General features: G+C 42.8%; 1 protein-coding gene across 6 annotated transcripts in view, besides 1 other annotated feature; it reads right to left on the bottom strand.

Annotated features, from left to right (window-relative positions):
• Positions 1-14,002, bottom strand: part of ATP2A2 (ATPase sarcoplasmic/endoplasmic reticulum Ca2+ transporting 2) — a 70,478-nt gene that overhangs the window by 11,280 nt on the left and 45,196 nt on the right. For all 6 annotated transcript variants that reach the window (NM_001413015.1, NM_170665.4, XM_011538402.4 and 3 more), the window contains 7 exons: positions 13,339-13,424; positions 11,797-12,261; positions 7,129-7,217; positions 6,531-6,633; positions 5,671-5,802; positions 411-533; positions 93-311 (listed from right to left, as the gene is read on the bottom strand). In NM_001413015.1, the coding sequence (NP_001399944.1) occupies positions 93-311; positions 411-533; positions 5,671-5,802; positions 6,531-6,633; positions 7,129-7,217; positions 11,797-12,261; positions 13,339-13,424 (1,217 nt within the window). The remainder of the gene's footprint in view (positions 1-92; positions 312-410; positions 534-5,670; positions 5,803-6,530; positions 6,634-7,128; positions 7,218-11,796; positions 12,262-13,338; positions 13,425-14,002) is intronic.
• Positions 721-820: an enhancer, noted in NCBI's record as "active region_7000". NCBI's record gives its function as "activates an Ori minimal core promoter by ATAC-STARR-seq in GM12878 lymphoblastoid cells {active_cell/tissue: GM12878}" and the evidence as "EXISTENCE:reporter gene assay evidence [ECO:0000049][PMID:35858748]".

Genomic DNA, 14,002 nt, shown 5'->3' with positions numbered 1-14,002 from the left:
GTGAGAACTGTTTGACCTTTTGCTTGAAGGAGTACTGTTTAAACACAATGAATCGTGCAGGGTGTGGACAAAGAAACTTTTCATTAGCTAACCTCATATTTAATAAAGTTGGCAGAGTCCTCAAGGTGCATTTCTTCTCTTCTCAGTGGGTTGTCATGAGTGGCCAGGGCCAGGCATCGCAGTGTGTCGCTGCCACTACCCCACTCTCGAATGACAGACATGATCTTCTGTTTGACTCCAGAGGTCATAGGAACCTTAGTACTTCCAACTCGAATGTGGGTGCACCTGTCAATGACACCTTCAGGAGCACCCTGGAAATGTTACAGATTTAGATAAACAATTTTGTTTTATTGGTTCACCGGGATCTTAACCCTGGCAAGAACATCTCAATTGCAATCTGCCATACTTGCCTTCACAAACATCTTGCTCATTGATGTCCTGCTTGGTTTATTTGGTGTACAGTAAACCGACATTGACTTTCTGTCACGTGAAAACTCTAGAGTGAATTCCTTTTTCATCAGCTGTTTAATGACCTACAAAGGGAACAAATATGGATACTACTGGGTGGCAATTTCTGAACTTTTTTACCTAACAAGCAGTAAGCACACCTATTACATGACAGATGCTAGGAATATAGCAATAAACAAAACAGACAGGTTTTTGCCCTCATGAAACTTGTCCCCTATTTTGGGAGAGACAGACTAAGATGCAAAAGTAACACAAGTGCTATAGAGAAAAAGGGAAGGGGGATAGAAAATTTGCATACATACATATGAACTGTTACATAAAGTGGCCAGAAGGCGGTGACATTTGAATAAAGATGGCCCCATGGGGCCTGAAAAGATGTGTGTGAACCCAGTGGGTGGTGGTGAAGACCCACCAGGCAGAGAACGGAAGTGCAACCTGGCAAGTCCTGGAATGGTAAAGGAGTGCCAACGTGGCTGGAATAGAGTTTACATGAGCAAAAGGTGAGGCAGGTAATGGCAGAGGATGGTAGAAGCAGGTCATTAAGACCTCAAAAGTCATTATGGGGCATTTGGCTTTTAAGACAAGTAAAACAGAAGACAACGGAGGGTCTCAAGCTCCAGTTGTCAAGAATTGGCTGAAGGTGGTCGGGTGCAGTGGATCACCTGAGGTCAGCAGTTCATGACCAGCCTGGCCAACATGGTGAAACCCTGTCTACAAAAATTAGCTAGGTGTGGTGGCAGGCACCTGTAATCCCAGCTACTCAGGAGGCCGAGGCAGGAGAACTGCTTAAAGCCAGGGGGGCAGAGATTCCAGTGAGATGAGATTGCGCCACTTCACTCCACCCTGGACGAAAGAGCAAACTCCATCTCAAAAAACAAAAGCATTGGCTGAAGGGAGACAAGGAATACCATTCAGTATAATGACACTGACTTAAACTAGGGAACGTTGGAGGTGAAGAGATGGCCCCAAGCAGAGCTGTCCACCAGAACTCTGTGAAAGATGGCAATGCTCTGTGGCCACTGTTCATGTGGCTGTCACACGTGATGGATAAGCACTTTAAGTGAATATGGCTAGGGCATCTAAGGAAGTGTTTTTAGGTATTCTAAGTAGTTTTAGATAGCTAGTGGCTACTGATTATAGTAATGAGACCAGAAGAGATCATGGGAGTAACTATAGACAGAAATGGCTGAGGACTATGGAGCCTTCACCTCCTGGTGCCTTGTGAAAGACCCAGCTACAAAGACCTCGAATGAGAGGCCAGGGAGGGAGAGCAAGTATGGGATCGTGGAAGCCAAGTGAAGAGGTGCTTCAAAGAGGGAGCGAGTGACAGCACCAACAAAATAGGAAGACGAAGACTGAGAATAAACCTTTGGCTTTATATCGTTACCTACAACTAAAGATACCCCTTCTCTTCCAGTTTTTGTACTTTTCTTGCCTATTACACAGACCAGGAATGCCAGTATAATACTGCATAGAAATGGTGAGAATTCTGTTATGTTAGCATGGTCTCTGTGTAAACACACTGTCAGCGTTAAAGACACACTTTTATAGTCTTAGTTTGGTGTGATAAGATGCGTTTCATCATATGCACCTACTGAGGTGACCTTATTGTTTTTTCCACCTTAATTTGGTTAATGTGGTGAGTTAATTATATTTGCTCCCACTGACACACATTTAAAAATCATCATAGAAATCCCCAAGAACATCAGCATCTAACCTAGGAAGCTACGGGAGGACTGAAGGCTGATGAACTGACTAGATGGGGCTCAGGGCCCTGCAGCGATCCTGCTGGCCTGCCAGCCACTGAACCGTCTCAGGCAGCAAAGGAATGGGTATGAGTGCTACGCTAGATTCTGTATCATCTCAATCACACGTGTGTTTAGTTTCAATTAAGCATTTGCGCCAATGGCACTGGGATGACTAAAGGAACACGCAATGATTCTGAGGAAGGCGTGGACCTACCCAGGTAAGAGGTCTTGGGCTGGGAGTGGGGGAGGGAAATCCCTTTCAGTACTAGGCTGGCCAAGAACCACAGACCTCACCAAACAAGCCATGGGGCCAAAATGCTGGACCTGCTCTCTCTGCTTCTAAACTACACATGGGTTCCTGCTGTCTCAAGTGGGAAGGGAGGCAAAGAGCTTGTGTTTGGAACTCCTTAGTGAATGAGCAGCATGACAGCTGTTTCCGATCCCTTGGCCAAGGGATGTGAAAAAGATGGGACAAGGGAGCTCTGGAGCAGGGAGACACAAGGATGACAGTATTGCCCGTACTTGTGTGGTCACTGGCTAGTGAGCCAGTGCTGGTTCAGCCCCATTACATGACTTGTTTCCCATCACTCAGTGGAGTAGTCAGAGGTCTAGAATCAAACGACTCAAACCCTCAATCTGTGAAGCTGTTTTCAGGCTGCCTCAGATTTTTAGTTACACCAACTAATAGATCACAGGCAGCGTGGCTCTGCCAGGATCCAACTCCTTGCTTACTGGCAGAGTGAATAAGCCTGGACTGCTTCGGGTTCATGGAAGACACATGGGTAGAGGGAAGAAGCCAAAGGAGTGGTCCAAGGCCTTCATGGCTTTGAGACTGCTATTTGTGAATTGTGCATCAGTTTACTGAAAAGGAATCTATATTTCAGCTGAGACAGTCTCAATTCCAGTGTGAGTTTTGTTTTCTCAGGACAGTATAAAGGAGACAAAATGCTGCCTCACACTAACCGGAAGACCACGCCATACAGGTCATGGAAGGGCTAGGTGTCCCTAACTGCAGGCTGGACATGATGGTCTAGAACTTTTCACCCTGAGATTTTGTGTGGTCACTAAAATGCCTGATATTTGAGGTTATTAAGAAAACAGGTATACTGCTCCCTCCCAACTCAGGCTGTACTACCCCCCAATGACACAATGCCTCCTCATTTGCCCTTATTATCCAGGAAGGGATGAAAGGGCTTATGACATACAAAAAGCATTAAACGTGGTGACAACTAATCATTTTGCTAAATGAGGCTTGCCTTTATACAGCTGTGTATGACAACTAGAAAAGGCTGAGTTTTACCTCTCTCCTCCCCCAGACCTGTTCCTTCAGGCAGGCAGAACCTCTCCCCTTCCCATCGCTCCTTATTCTACCAGGGAACCCTAAGTTACAACAATGTCCTATAAAGAGGCTGCAAAAGTACTGACTGGCAGCCCCATGGTGATGACAGACAGGTAGGTCTGATGCTAAAAAGAGGTATGTTCAGCAGAACCCAATTCCATAGGAATCCAAGCTCCACAGCTAGGAGACAGTGGGCACTGAGGATGAGGCTGTTTGCAGGCAAATGGTCTGGTGGACCTATTAGAGGACCATGTGGCTGTGCAGACCCTGGACTGCAGATAGAGGGTATTCACTCTAAGATAGTGTAGGAGGGCTCTTGCCCAACAAGCAATCACCCTGTCTGCCATATAAAAGGAGCAGCTGCTGCTGCTGCCACACAGCTCAGGAATGATGTTTCCTGGGTGGTGGTTTGTGGGGGCAGGAACCAGACATAGACTTTGAGAGCCTGACTTACGTCCCTAAGCTCCTTCTGCTCCTCCCTGGCTGCTCTGAGAGCATCACACTCCTTCCTCCAATACAATCAGCTTCCGCAGTTCCCATTCTTGAGCTGCTTCTGTAGCTTGCTTCTTCTCTCCCACCTGTCCTTGGCACCCACGTGACCGACTGACCCACACAGACTTTGTGTATTGCAACATCTTATCTGCATATCACTTCTCATCCAAGCAATCATCTACCACTTTGGCCAGGATAAGATAAAGGGAGTTATCCTTCAAGTTTAGCCACTTCAGGCCTTAATTTTTTTTTGAGATGGGGTCTGACTCTGTTGCCCAGGCTCAAGTGCAGTGATGCTGCAACCTAAACTCTAGGCCTCAAGTGACTCTCCCGCCTCAGCTTCCCAAAGTGTTGGGATTACAGGTGTGAGCCACTGCGCCTGGTCCACTTCAAGTTCTTAAGCTGAGCCAAGTGACAGGCAGGGGGACCAGTCTTTTGAGGAGACCCAGGTGCTAGAGACTCAATGGATGGCCATTCTTCACCAGCAGCCGTTGCAAAGTGTTTCTACTGAGGTCTAGGCTCCCCGGGCTTGTGAGGCCACAGAAATCTAAGGGCAGTACTGCAGGACAGGTCCAGTATGGTGGTCTTGGCAGGAGGGAGCAGCAGCTCTTTGAGAGGAACCTCACTCAGGTCCAACTCACTGTGGAGACTCCCCATCCTTGCTACTGGCCCTTGTCATAGTGATGCTGGTCGAATGAGCCCTGTCTCAAAGACTCTGACAGGCAGAAAAAGGCTCAGAGGCCACTTATTTGTTCAGTGTATACATGAACAATGTGGGTGCCCTCTGCCACTGCCACTGCCACTGCCACCACCATCACCACATTGACCTTTGGTATTTGGTTATGCTGGTCTCATCAAATGAGTTAAGAAATGTTTGATGCCCAGGCGCGGTGGCTCATGCCTGTAATCCCAGCACTTTGGGAGGCCGAGGTGGGCGGATCACCTGAGGTCAGGAGTTCGAGACCAGCCTGGCTAGCATGGTGAAACCCCTTTCTACGAAAAATACAAAAAATTAGCCAGGCGTGGTGGCGTGTGCCTGTAATCCCAGCTACTAGGGAGGCTAAGGCAGGAGAATCGCTTGAACCTGGGAGGTGGAGGTTGCAGTGAGCCAAGATCGCGCCATGGCACTCCAATCTGGTGACAGAGAGAAACTCTGTCTCAAAAAAAAAAAAAAAAAAAAGGTTTAATTGAACAGGAAAAGAAAGTGTGGTAGCTGACAGGGGAAATAAGGTCAAAGGAAAGTTTCAAGATAGAAAGACACTATTATTTCCCCCTATGCTGAAGAACATCTAGTAGAGATGGAAATCAATAATGCAGCAAAGATGTTGGGAGGAGGTGGCTTCTGCTAGGAGCAAGAACACTGTTCACAGCACTATGGGAGAAGGCAGCCCCTGTGGGCCCAGAGGGTCGCTCAAGGAAATTAGCTATTGATTGCTTTTATTTTCCTGGTCAAATACACAGGAAGAGCATCTTACCTGAGAGTGAATATGGGGAAGGAAATACTGTAAGTTTGAGGAGATAAGGTATAATTAGTTTTCTAAGAGAGTAGGACAGTGCAGACACTAAGTATATATAGTACGACTGATAAGCAGCATGAACAATAAACCAGGTTCAAATACTCACTGAGTTGCAGGCATTTGCACGTTCTATTTTAGAAAGACCCTTCAATTCGGTATCAAATACATTCATCTTCTCTACTAGGCAAGTGAGAGCAGTCTCTGTAGCTTCTCCAACTTTTTCATACACACCCTTTGCCTGTATTGGTTAAAGGCACAGAAAGTAGAAAAAAGGGAGAAGTACACAGATAAATTTATCTTTAATATTTTTTTTCCACAAAAGCACAATCTGTCCTCTATTACAACACTGTAAGGCCATTTTTATCCTCCTCTGAAACAGGTGACCCAGATAATTAAAAACATACTCAAAGTACAGGTGTGCATGTGATCTTATTCTAATAAGTAGGTTTTTCATTTCCCTTAAATATAAGATGACATCAAACACAGTATTTATTATTTCACCCAAATATAAGAAGCCACTGATCACACTATTAATTCAAAGAGTGCCTTCACATAATAATGTAATTCCATGTCACTGCTTATCATTCTGAAGAGTTCACATTCTGTCTCTGACAGGGACTAGCTTACCTTTGAGACAGAAACTATATCCTTTGCTTTCAGGAAAGCATTTTCTATCCTGGGTTTTATTCATTTATAGTAAGTATGCTATCAACAGAAAGAACATCACATATACTACAACTTTAAGTTAACTAACTGCAATGCTCAGTCACAGAGGATATGTGAAAGGCTCTCAGCTTTCTTTGGTGAGGTCATGCTGGCCCCACCATCAGGTTCTGAATGGAAGGGGGAAACAAAATCAGGCACCCTTGACTTTCAAAAGGGAGGAAGGCAGGCTAGACTTTCATTCCACCCACCCCACCCTTGAACTAGGAACAGCCATTCCTTCTAATTTATGAAGAGACTTACCTCATTGTAATCCAAAGCAGAGTCATTACAAAGAGCACAAATTGTTGCTAATTCTACCAGACCATCATACTGGTGACAATTCACTGGTTTATCATCTTTATGCCTGCCCAAAGAGAAAACACTCTTAGAGCAGGGTATGGTCGCCACTATTGATTCCTCCCGCCCCCTGCCCCCCCGCAATTGTTTAATAATGAAAACAGAATTTCTGGGACAACATACTGGAAAAAATTCCAAACAATTTGATGCCAGAGCCAATATTAGACAAAAACAAAAGAGAGAATGCATCTCTGGTATCAGAAATCAATCAGTAAAAAGACCAGAAATTCTTAATTCAATTCTTCCACCACTGGCTACAGTGAATAACAAACACAAATCCCTCTTGAAAGTTTGGAGCCCAGAAGATGCAAAAAGATGACTGGATTATAACCTTTGGTTCATCTTTCAAAGTTTTTGTTTTAAAAACATTTACTACTTTAGTAATAAGTGTTGACTTGAGCCACATTCAGAAAGCTGTCTTAACTTTGTAGACATGCTGCAAATCAATACAAATACTAAACTGCCACACCAGATCCTTTAAATGAGGAGGAGGGTTACTCACACTTCTCCAATAGGTGCATAAGTTGATCCAGTTATGGTAAACTCATTAAGGGAACAAGTATCACCTTCCACTCTGTCCAGAATGAACATCTGTAGGGGGAGAGCGCATCAGAGTATTTAAAAGGGATTTTTAAAAAATGCTACACAAATAAACTACCTTTGTTAGCTTAGGACAAAGGCAAACAACCTCTTTCATTTACGAAAACAACTTTAATAAAACTCACTGAGGCTCACTCAGCATCAGCAGTACTGTCCCTTACCCTAACTAGCTTAATTATATTAGACTGCTTCGCCCATCACACCCCCGACCAATCGAACAGTATGAAAAACAGCATCACTGAGGTGCTGAATGAATGAGCAGCAGTGGCACCAAAGACACAACAACCCACACAAAATCCAAGTTATGAGGACTCCCGGTCAGCAAAAGGTCAGTTCCAGAGACAAGTTACTCTTTAGATTGCTCAGAATCCCAAATTTCAAATGGCTGGCTGTGAGAGTGGTATTAGGTAGTCCTGCCTTAGAGCTAAGCACAAAAGCTTGGGAAGAATAAACTCACATTTCAGAGTTGCATAAACATTTCCCGAGTAAAATAAGACAAACTGCTTCTCTGCTCCTTCCCACTTATTTTTATTGTGGCAATAGCTCATGTTCTATGAAGCTGCATAACTATATGTATACAGTAAGGAGCCCGCAGAGCTGAATGAATTGATGTTCCCTAGACAATACAGATGGAAGCATGCTTAGGAAAGGATTAATTTTATTTTTTAAAGCGACATAAGCTATTTTCTTAAAGATAATTTTTCCACTGCTTGATTTGCATTCACAAATTATAATTCAGAAGCCCAGTTTGGAAAAGTAAGATTTAGGCTTGTGTTTTCATTGCAAATGAAAACTTGTAAAACCTCCTCTAAAAAGAAAAAATTACAGAAAGTGATGTCAAAACTATATTTTCTCGTGCTTTCTCTGAAATATGAGCAATTAATAATCTGATCAAATCATTCTCTAAGGGGAATTTAAAAAATGTAAAACTCAAGTTAAACAGGCCACGTTGAGCTGGGCACGGTGGCTCACGCCTATAATCCCAGCACTGAGAGGCCAAGGTGAGTAGATCATGAGGACAGGAGCTCAAGATCAGCCTGGCAAAGATGGTGAAACCCGTCTCTACTAAAAATATAACAAATTAGCCGGGCGTGGTGGTGGGCACCTGTAATCCCAGCTACTCAGGAGGTTGAGGGAGAGAAGTGCTTGAACCCGGGAGGCAGAGGTTGCAGTGGGCTGAGATTGCGCCACTGCACTCTAGCCTGGGCGACAGAGCAAAACTCCGTAATAACAGCAACAACAAAGCTATGTTGTGTTTTAAAAACACATCTTTTCAGAGCAATTCATCTCACATTCAATAAGGAAATTAGTTAATCTTTATTTTAAAATAACTTTTTTTTTTTTTTGAGGTGGAGTTTCACTCTGTCGCCTAGGCTGGGTGGACTGCAATGGCACGACTCGGCTCACTGCAACCTCCGCCTCCCGGGTTCAAGTGATTCTCCTGCCTCAGCCTCCCAAAGAAATTATAGGCGCCTGCCAACATGCCCAGCTAATTTTTGTAATATTAGTAGAGACGAGGTTTCACCATGTTAGTCAGGCTGGTCTCGAACTCCTGACCTCAGGTGATCCGCCCGCCTCGGCCTCCCAAAGTGCTGAAATAACAGGCGTGAACCACTGTGCCCAGCCAAAAATGTGAAATTCTTTGAGTCTATACCAAAGCCCAAAATATTCTAAAAGACATTCAGAATCTGAATCTACATTAGCTAAATCTAAATGTACTTAGACATTTTTGACTGTGAGCAAGTCAACCATTTAGGATATGCAGGATGAAAATCTTCCTAAGTCAAGGGCAGTTATGCAATACCACTGCAAGAAGCCTCCTGCAGAATACCAATTAGCACCAGCTTCCTGTTGTGAGGTAGAGCTTCACTCAGAACAGGCAGGCTTTTTCTTTATTATAAGAAAACATTTTAAGCCAAGCCATTCAAGGGAGAAAAGAACAAAAAAAAATTATAGTGAACTGGGAAACTGAAATTTTAAAAATTACAATTTTACACATGGCTTTACACATGGCTTACTTTCACAGACATAAAGACTATTCTGAGGAATTAAAGCTTTCAGGCTAAGTGAGACACAAAATCGTAAATAAGAAAATTCCCTTTCTCTTCCTGAAACAACCAGTATGACAAAACTGACTTTTAGCCAATTCATCCAACCTTTTGGTTCCAAAAAATAAGAACTTAAGTAGCTCAAACACCTTAATATCCTGGAGAAACCTAAGACAAACCTAGAAGCTTTCCACTTTGAAAGTTGGAACACCCCAGTTCTGTCAATTCTAAATGTGGGTTTGGACTTCACAAGGAGCTTGCGGGGGAGGGAGAACCTGTATCTAAAAAATCATCATGAGCTTAAAATTGGCAAGATAAAAATTCACAGGGCTTAACTGATTATAAAACAATTTCCGATGTTAAAAATAATTATCTAAAACCTGACAAAAAGGCCAAGATAACTACACCCTTTCAATATCATACAGAAGCATTATTTAACAAGCCCATTCTAGGAAAATGTAACACTGTGTTACTAAATAAATGCTCATGTTATATGAGGTTTCCCTGTAAGACATTAGTTTTGTAATCTAACCTAGCAATCCCTATTCTAATATTCTAATATTGAACACTTCCTCAAATACAGATTCCCTTGCTAATTAATGAGCCGAATAAAATATGTGACAAATGTCTACTCTGTATGAGTCATGTGTACCTTTTGGAATAGACTTGTACCAAGTTGTTTAAGCAAAACCTAAGGAAAGTGAATTATACAAAATAATCCAGCTGTATAATTATTGCATTATTTATTCAGTTGTTACTTTTCTAACAGCAGGTTTAAATTATTTATTTTATCAAATGATGGTCAAAAAATATAGGATGGCCGGGCGCGGGGGCTCACGCCTATAATCCCAGCACTTTGGGAGGCTTTCAAAAGCGGGTGGATCACTTGAGGTCGCGAGTTCGAGACCAGCCTGACCAACATGGAGAAACCCTATCTCTACTAAAAATACAAAAAATTAGCCGGGCGTGGGGGCGCATGCCTGTAATCCCAGCTACTTGGGAGGCTGAAGCAGGAGAATTGCTTGAACCCAGAAGGCGGAGGTTGTAGTGAGCTGAGATCGGGCCATTGCACTACAGCCTGGGCAACAAGAGTGAAACTCCATCTCAAAACAAGAACAAACAAACAAACAAAAATATATATGATGAATACACAGAATAAAGCAAGTTAAAAGCAATTTTAGTCAGCCCTCTGTACCTGTGGGTTCCACATCCACGGTCAACTAAACAGCAGATGGAAAAAATAACTGCATCTGTACTGAACATGTACATTTTTTTCTTGTCATTATTCCCTAAACAACACAGGTTAACTATCCCTAAACAACACAGTTTAACTATTTACATATCATTTATAATATTACGTTAGGTACTGTAAGTAATCTGGAGATGTTTTCAAGTATACTGGAGGATGAACAAGGTTATATGCAAGTACTGAACCATTTCATTTCAGAGACTTGAGCATCTGCAGAGTTTGGTATCTGAGGGAGGTCCTGGAACCAATCTCTAATGAATACAGAGAGATGACTATCTACTTTTTGAGAAAAAGCACGCTTCATTCAACATGTGATAGAAAAACCAATTAGGACTTCAGGTAGGGAGGTTAACTAGCAGCTTTCTCTAGAACTTGTCTATTAACATACACCTAGAGACAGAGGATCAGGAAAATTAGAAAGGAGGCTGAGTGTGGTGGTTCATGCTTATAATCCCAGCTCTTTGGGAGGCCAAGGCAGGAGGATCACTTGAGCCCAGGAATTCAAGACCAGCCTGGTGACATAGTGAGAACCTGCCTCTACAAAAAAAAATAAAAAAACTAGTGGGGCATGGTGGCATGCACTTGTGGTTGCAGCTACTTGTGAGGCTGGGGTGGGAGGACTTGAGCCTGGGAGGTTGAGGCTGTAAGTGAGCCACAGCTGTGTCACTGCACACTAGCCTGGGCAACAGAATGAGACCTTGTCTTTTTTCTTTTCTTTTCTTTGAGATGGAGTCTTGCTTGTCGCCCAGAATTGAGAGCAGTGGTGTGATCTTGGCTCACTGCAACCTCCGCTGCCCAGGTTCAAGCAATTCTCCTGTCTCAGCCTCTCGAGTAGCTGGGACTACAGGTGCACGCCACCACTCAGCTAATTTTTGTCTTTTCGGTAGAGACAGGGTTTCACCATTTTGGTCAGGTTGGTCTCAAACTTCGGACCTCAGGTGATCCACCCGCCTCGGCCTCTCAAAGTGCTGGGATTACAGGCGTGAGCCACTGCGCCCAGGCTTTTTTTTTTTTTAATTAAAGGAAAATATAATTTCTCTAATTCTCTTACATCTAATACAAGTATATCAGCCATACAGATATCCTGTATTTTGTGAAAGTTTTAGGAATTAAATGATTAGATCCTCTCAAATATTAGAAATTAAGCTCAGGCTATACATACAGCCCACAGAAATGTATGAAATTACAAATCAAAAGTTTTGATGGCATGAAGGCATATTGGTAGGATGAACAAAGAACCACGACACGGAATATTCTAAATTACTCCTCTTACCCTGCAGACTGACATCTGGTTTGTTGTAAGTGTACCAGTCTTGTCTGAGCAGATAACAGAAGTACAACCAAGGGTTTCCACAGACGGGAGGCTTCGAACAATGGCATTTTTCTTTGCCATTCTGCGAGTTCCAAGAGCCAGGCAGGTGGTGATGACTGCAGGCAGACCTTCAGGAATGGCTGCTACAGCCAGGGCCACTGCAATTTTAAAGTAGTAAATAGCACCTCTGATCCAGGACCCTCCATGAACCGGGTCATTGAAGTGCCCAATATTTATGATCCAGACTGCAATGCAAATAAGGGAGATGACTTTGGAAAGCTGTTCCCCAAATTCATCTAGTTTTTGCTGAAGGGGTGTTCTCTCCTGTTCTGTTGCCACCATTTCATCCCGGATCTTGCCAATTTCGGTGTTAACTCCAGTTGCTACCACCACTCCCATAGCTTTCCCAGCAGCAATGTTTGTACCCTAGGACAGAAGTAGAGAACTGGTCACAAGATGAATACCACATCCCAACTTAAATACCGACGCTGGTTTTTGACTAGGGCACCCAGATTCTCTACACATTCTACTAGGTCTTCCACTGGCTACTGTTCAAGCAACCAGCCATACAACTGTGACAACAAGCAATGCTCCATGTGCTACTTACTTATGTCAGGCAGCTCTGTACTGACCCACCTAGATTTCTATTTGAGCCCGGCTTGCAGACCATCTTCAAGCAGTGCTCTTAACCCCTCTGTGTTCCCAATTTTTCAAACTCATATAGTTCAACTCTAAGCATTCTCCACTTCTGGCTCCAACAACTCAAGGCCCCTACTTTTCTCACTGTAATAGAAACGGCAACTAGCCCCATGGGCTATCTTGACAACCCCTACTCATGTGACAGGGTCCAAAAACCAAAGAAATCAAATGTGAGCAGTCTCTCCCATGCCACTTTAATTCCTAGTGTTATAAGAGAAGGACATGGCTTCACTATTTTCAGGGTACCTCTATTTACTTACTATGGGTAGTAGTCAGGTTCTCATACAAACCCACAAATGTCCCCAACTTAAAATCATTTCCTCACTATTCAAAGAATTTTTCACATCAATAGAAAAAGTGAAATAGTAAAATGAACATTCATATACTTTGCACCTAGACTCACCATTATTAATGGTTTGCCATGTTTGCTTTCTCTCTCTCTCTAAACACGCACCTTTTTATTGTGAACCACATACAAATAGCAGCTGTCATCTACATCATTTTGAAAATACCCTTTATTGGCTAAGGCTTTTCCAAACAAATCTACTTTTCAACTATGTTTGCAGGTAAGAGTTTGAAGATGTATAAGCTAGTCATTATTTTTTGGTCCCCCAAAACTTGCCAATTAAAAGACATCTAAGTCACACGTTATGTTACTGCCATATTCTGACACCTAAGACTGACCATGAAAAGTGTGATTATCCTTTAGAATGATAGCCAGTGATGGTTGGCAGTGAAAAACATAACATTTGATTAGGCTTTGGAAATGTCTGTAAATAAAAACACATTTCATAAAGTACTTACAGAAAACAGCATGTTCTTTTTATCTTGGTTGACAGCTCGTGGGTCAGGGACGGGATCAGTGTGCTTGATGACAGAGACAGATTCACCTAAGCGGGTTGTGAGACAGAAAAAACAGATCTCTGCGACCCACACCAAGAACCTAGAACCTCTCATTCATGCCCACCCATTACCACTCTTGGGATACTGTTAGTGTGAGAAAAGGTTGGCAAAAGGCCCAATTCATTCAAAGGAGGTAAGCTGGGAAAACTTAGTAATGGAAATTAATACCAGAACAAAGGGTGTCAGGATAAAAATCAACACAATTCCAAAATAAAAAAGTGAATTTTCAAGTAGAATCCCCATTGATTATTTTCTGGAGTAACTATTCAAATTAATTTATTTTTCAGTAATCATTTTATACTCTGATACTGTGACTGTATTATTTACATATATTTGTTGTATACTTTAATAAATACTTTAACATATATACTGATACTTTTTTTTTTTTTCGAGACAGAGGTCTTGCTCTATCACCCGGGCTGGTGCAATGGCACCATCACAACTCACTACAGCCTCAACTTCCTGGGCTCAAGCAATCTTCCCAACTTGGCTTCCTGAATAGCTGGGATTACAGGCACCCAATACCACGCCGGGTTAATTTTTTTGGTATTTTTTTGTAGAGATG

The sequence above is a fragment of the Homo sapiens genome, chromosome 12, assembly GCF_000001405.40.
Source record: "Homo sapiens chromosome 12, GRCh38.p14 Primary Assembly".
Taxonomy (NCBI): domain Eukaryota; kingdom Metazoa; phylum Chordata; class Mammalia; order Primates; family Hominidae; genus Homo; species Homo sapiens.
The sequence above is the reverse complement of the archived record's forward strand: the minus strand, read 5'-3'. Positions and strand labels throughout refer to the sequence as shown.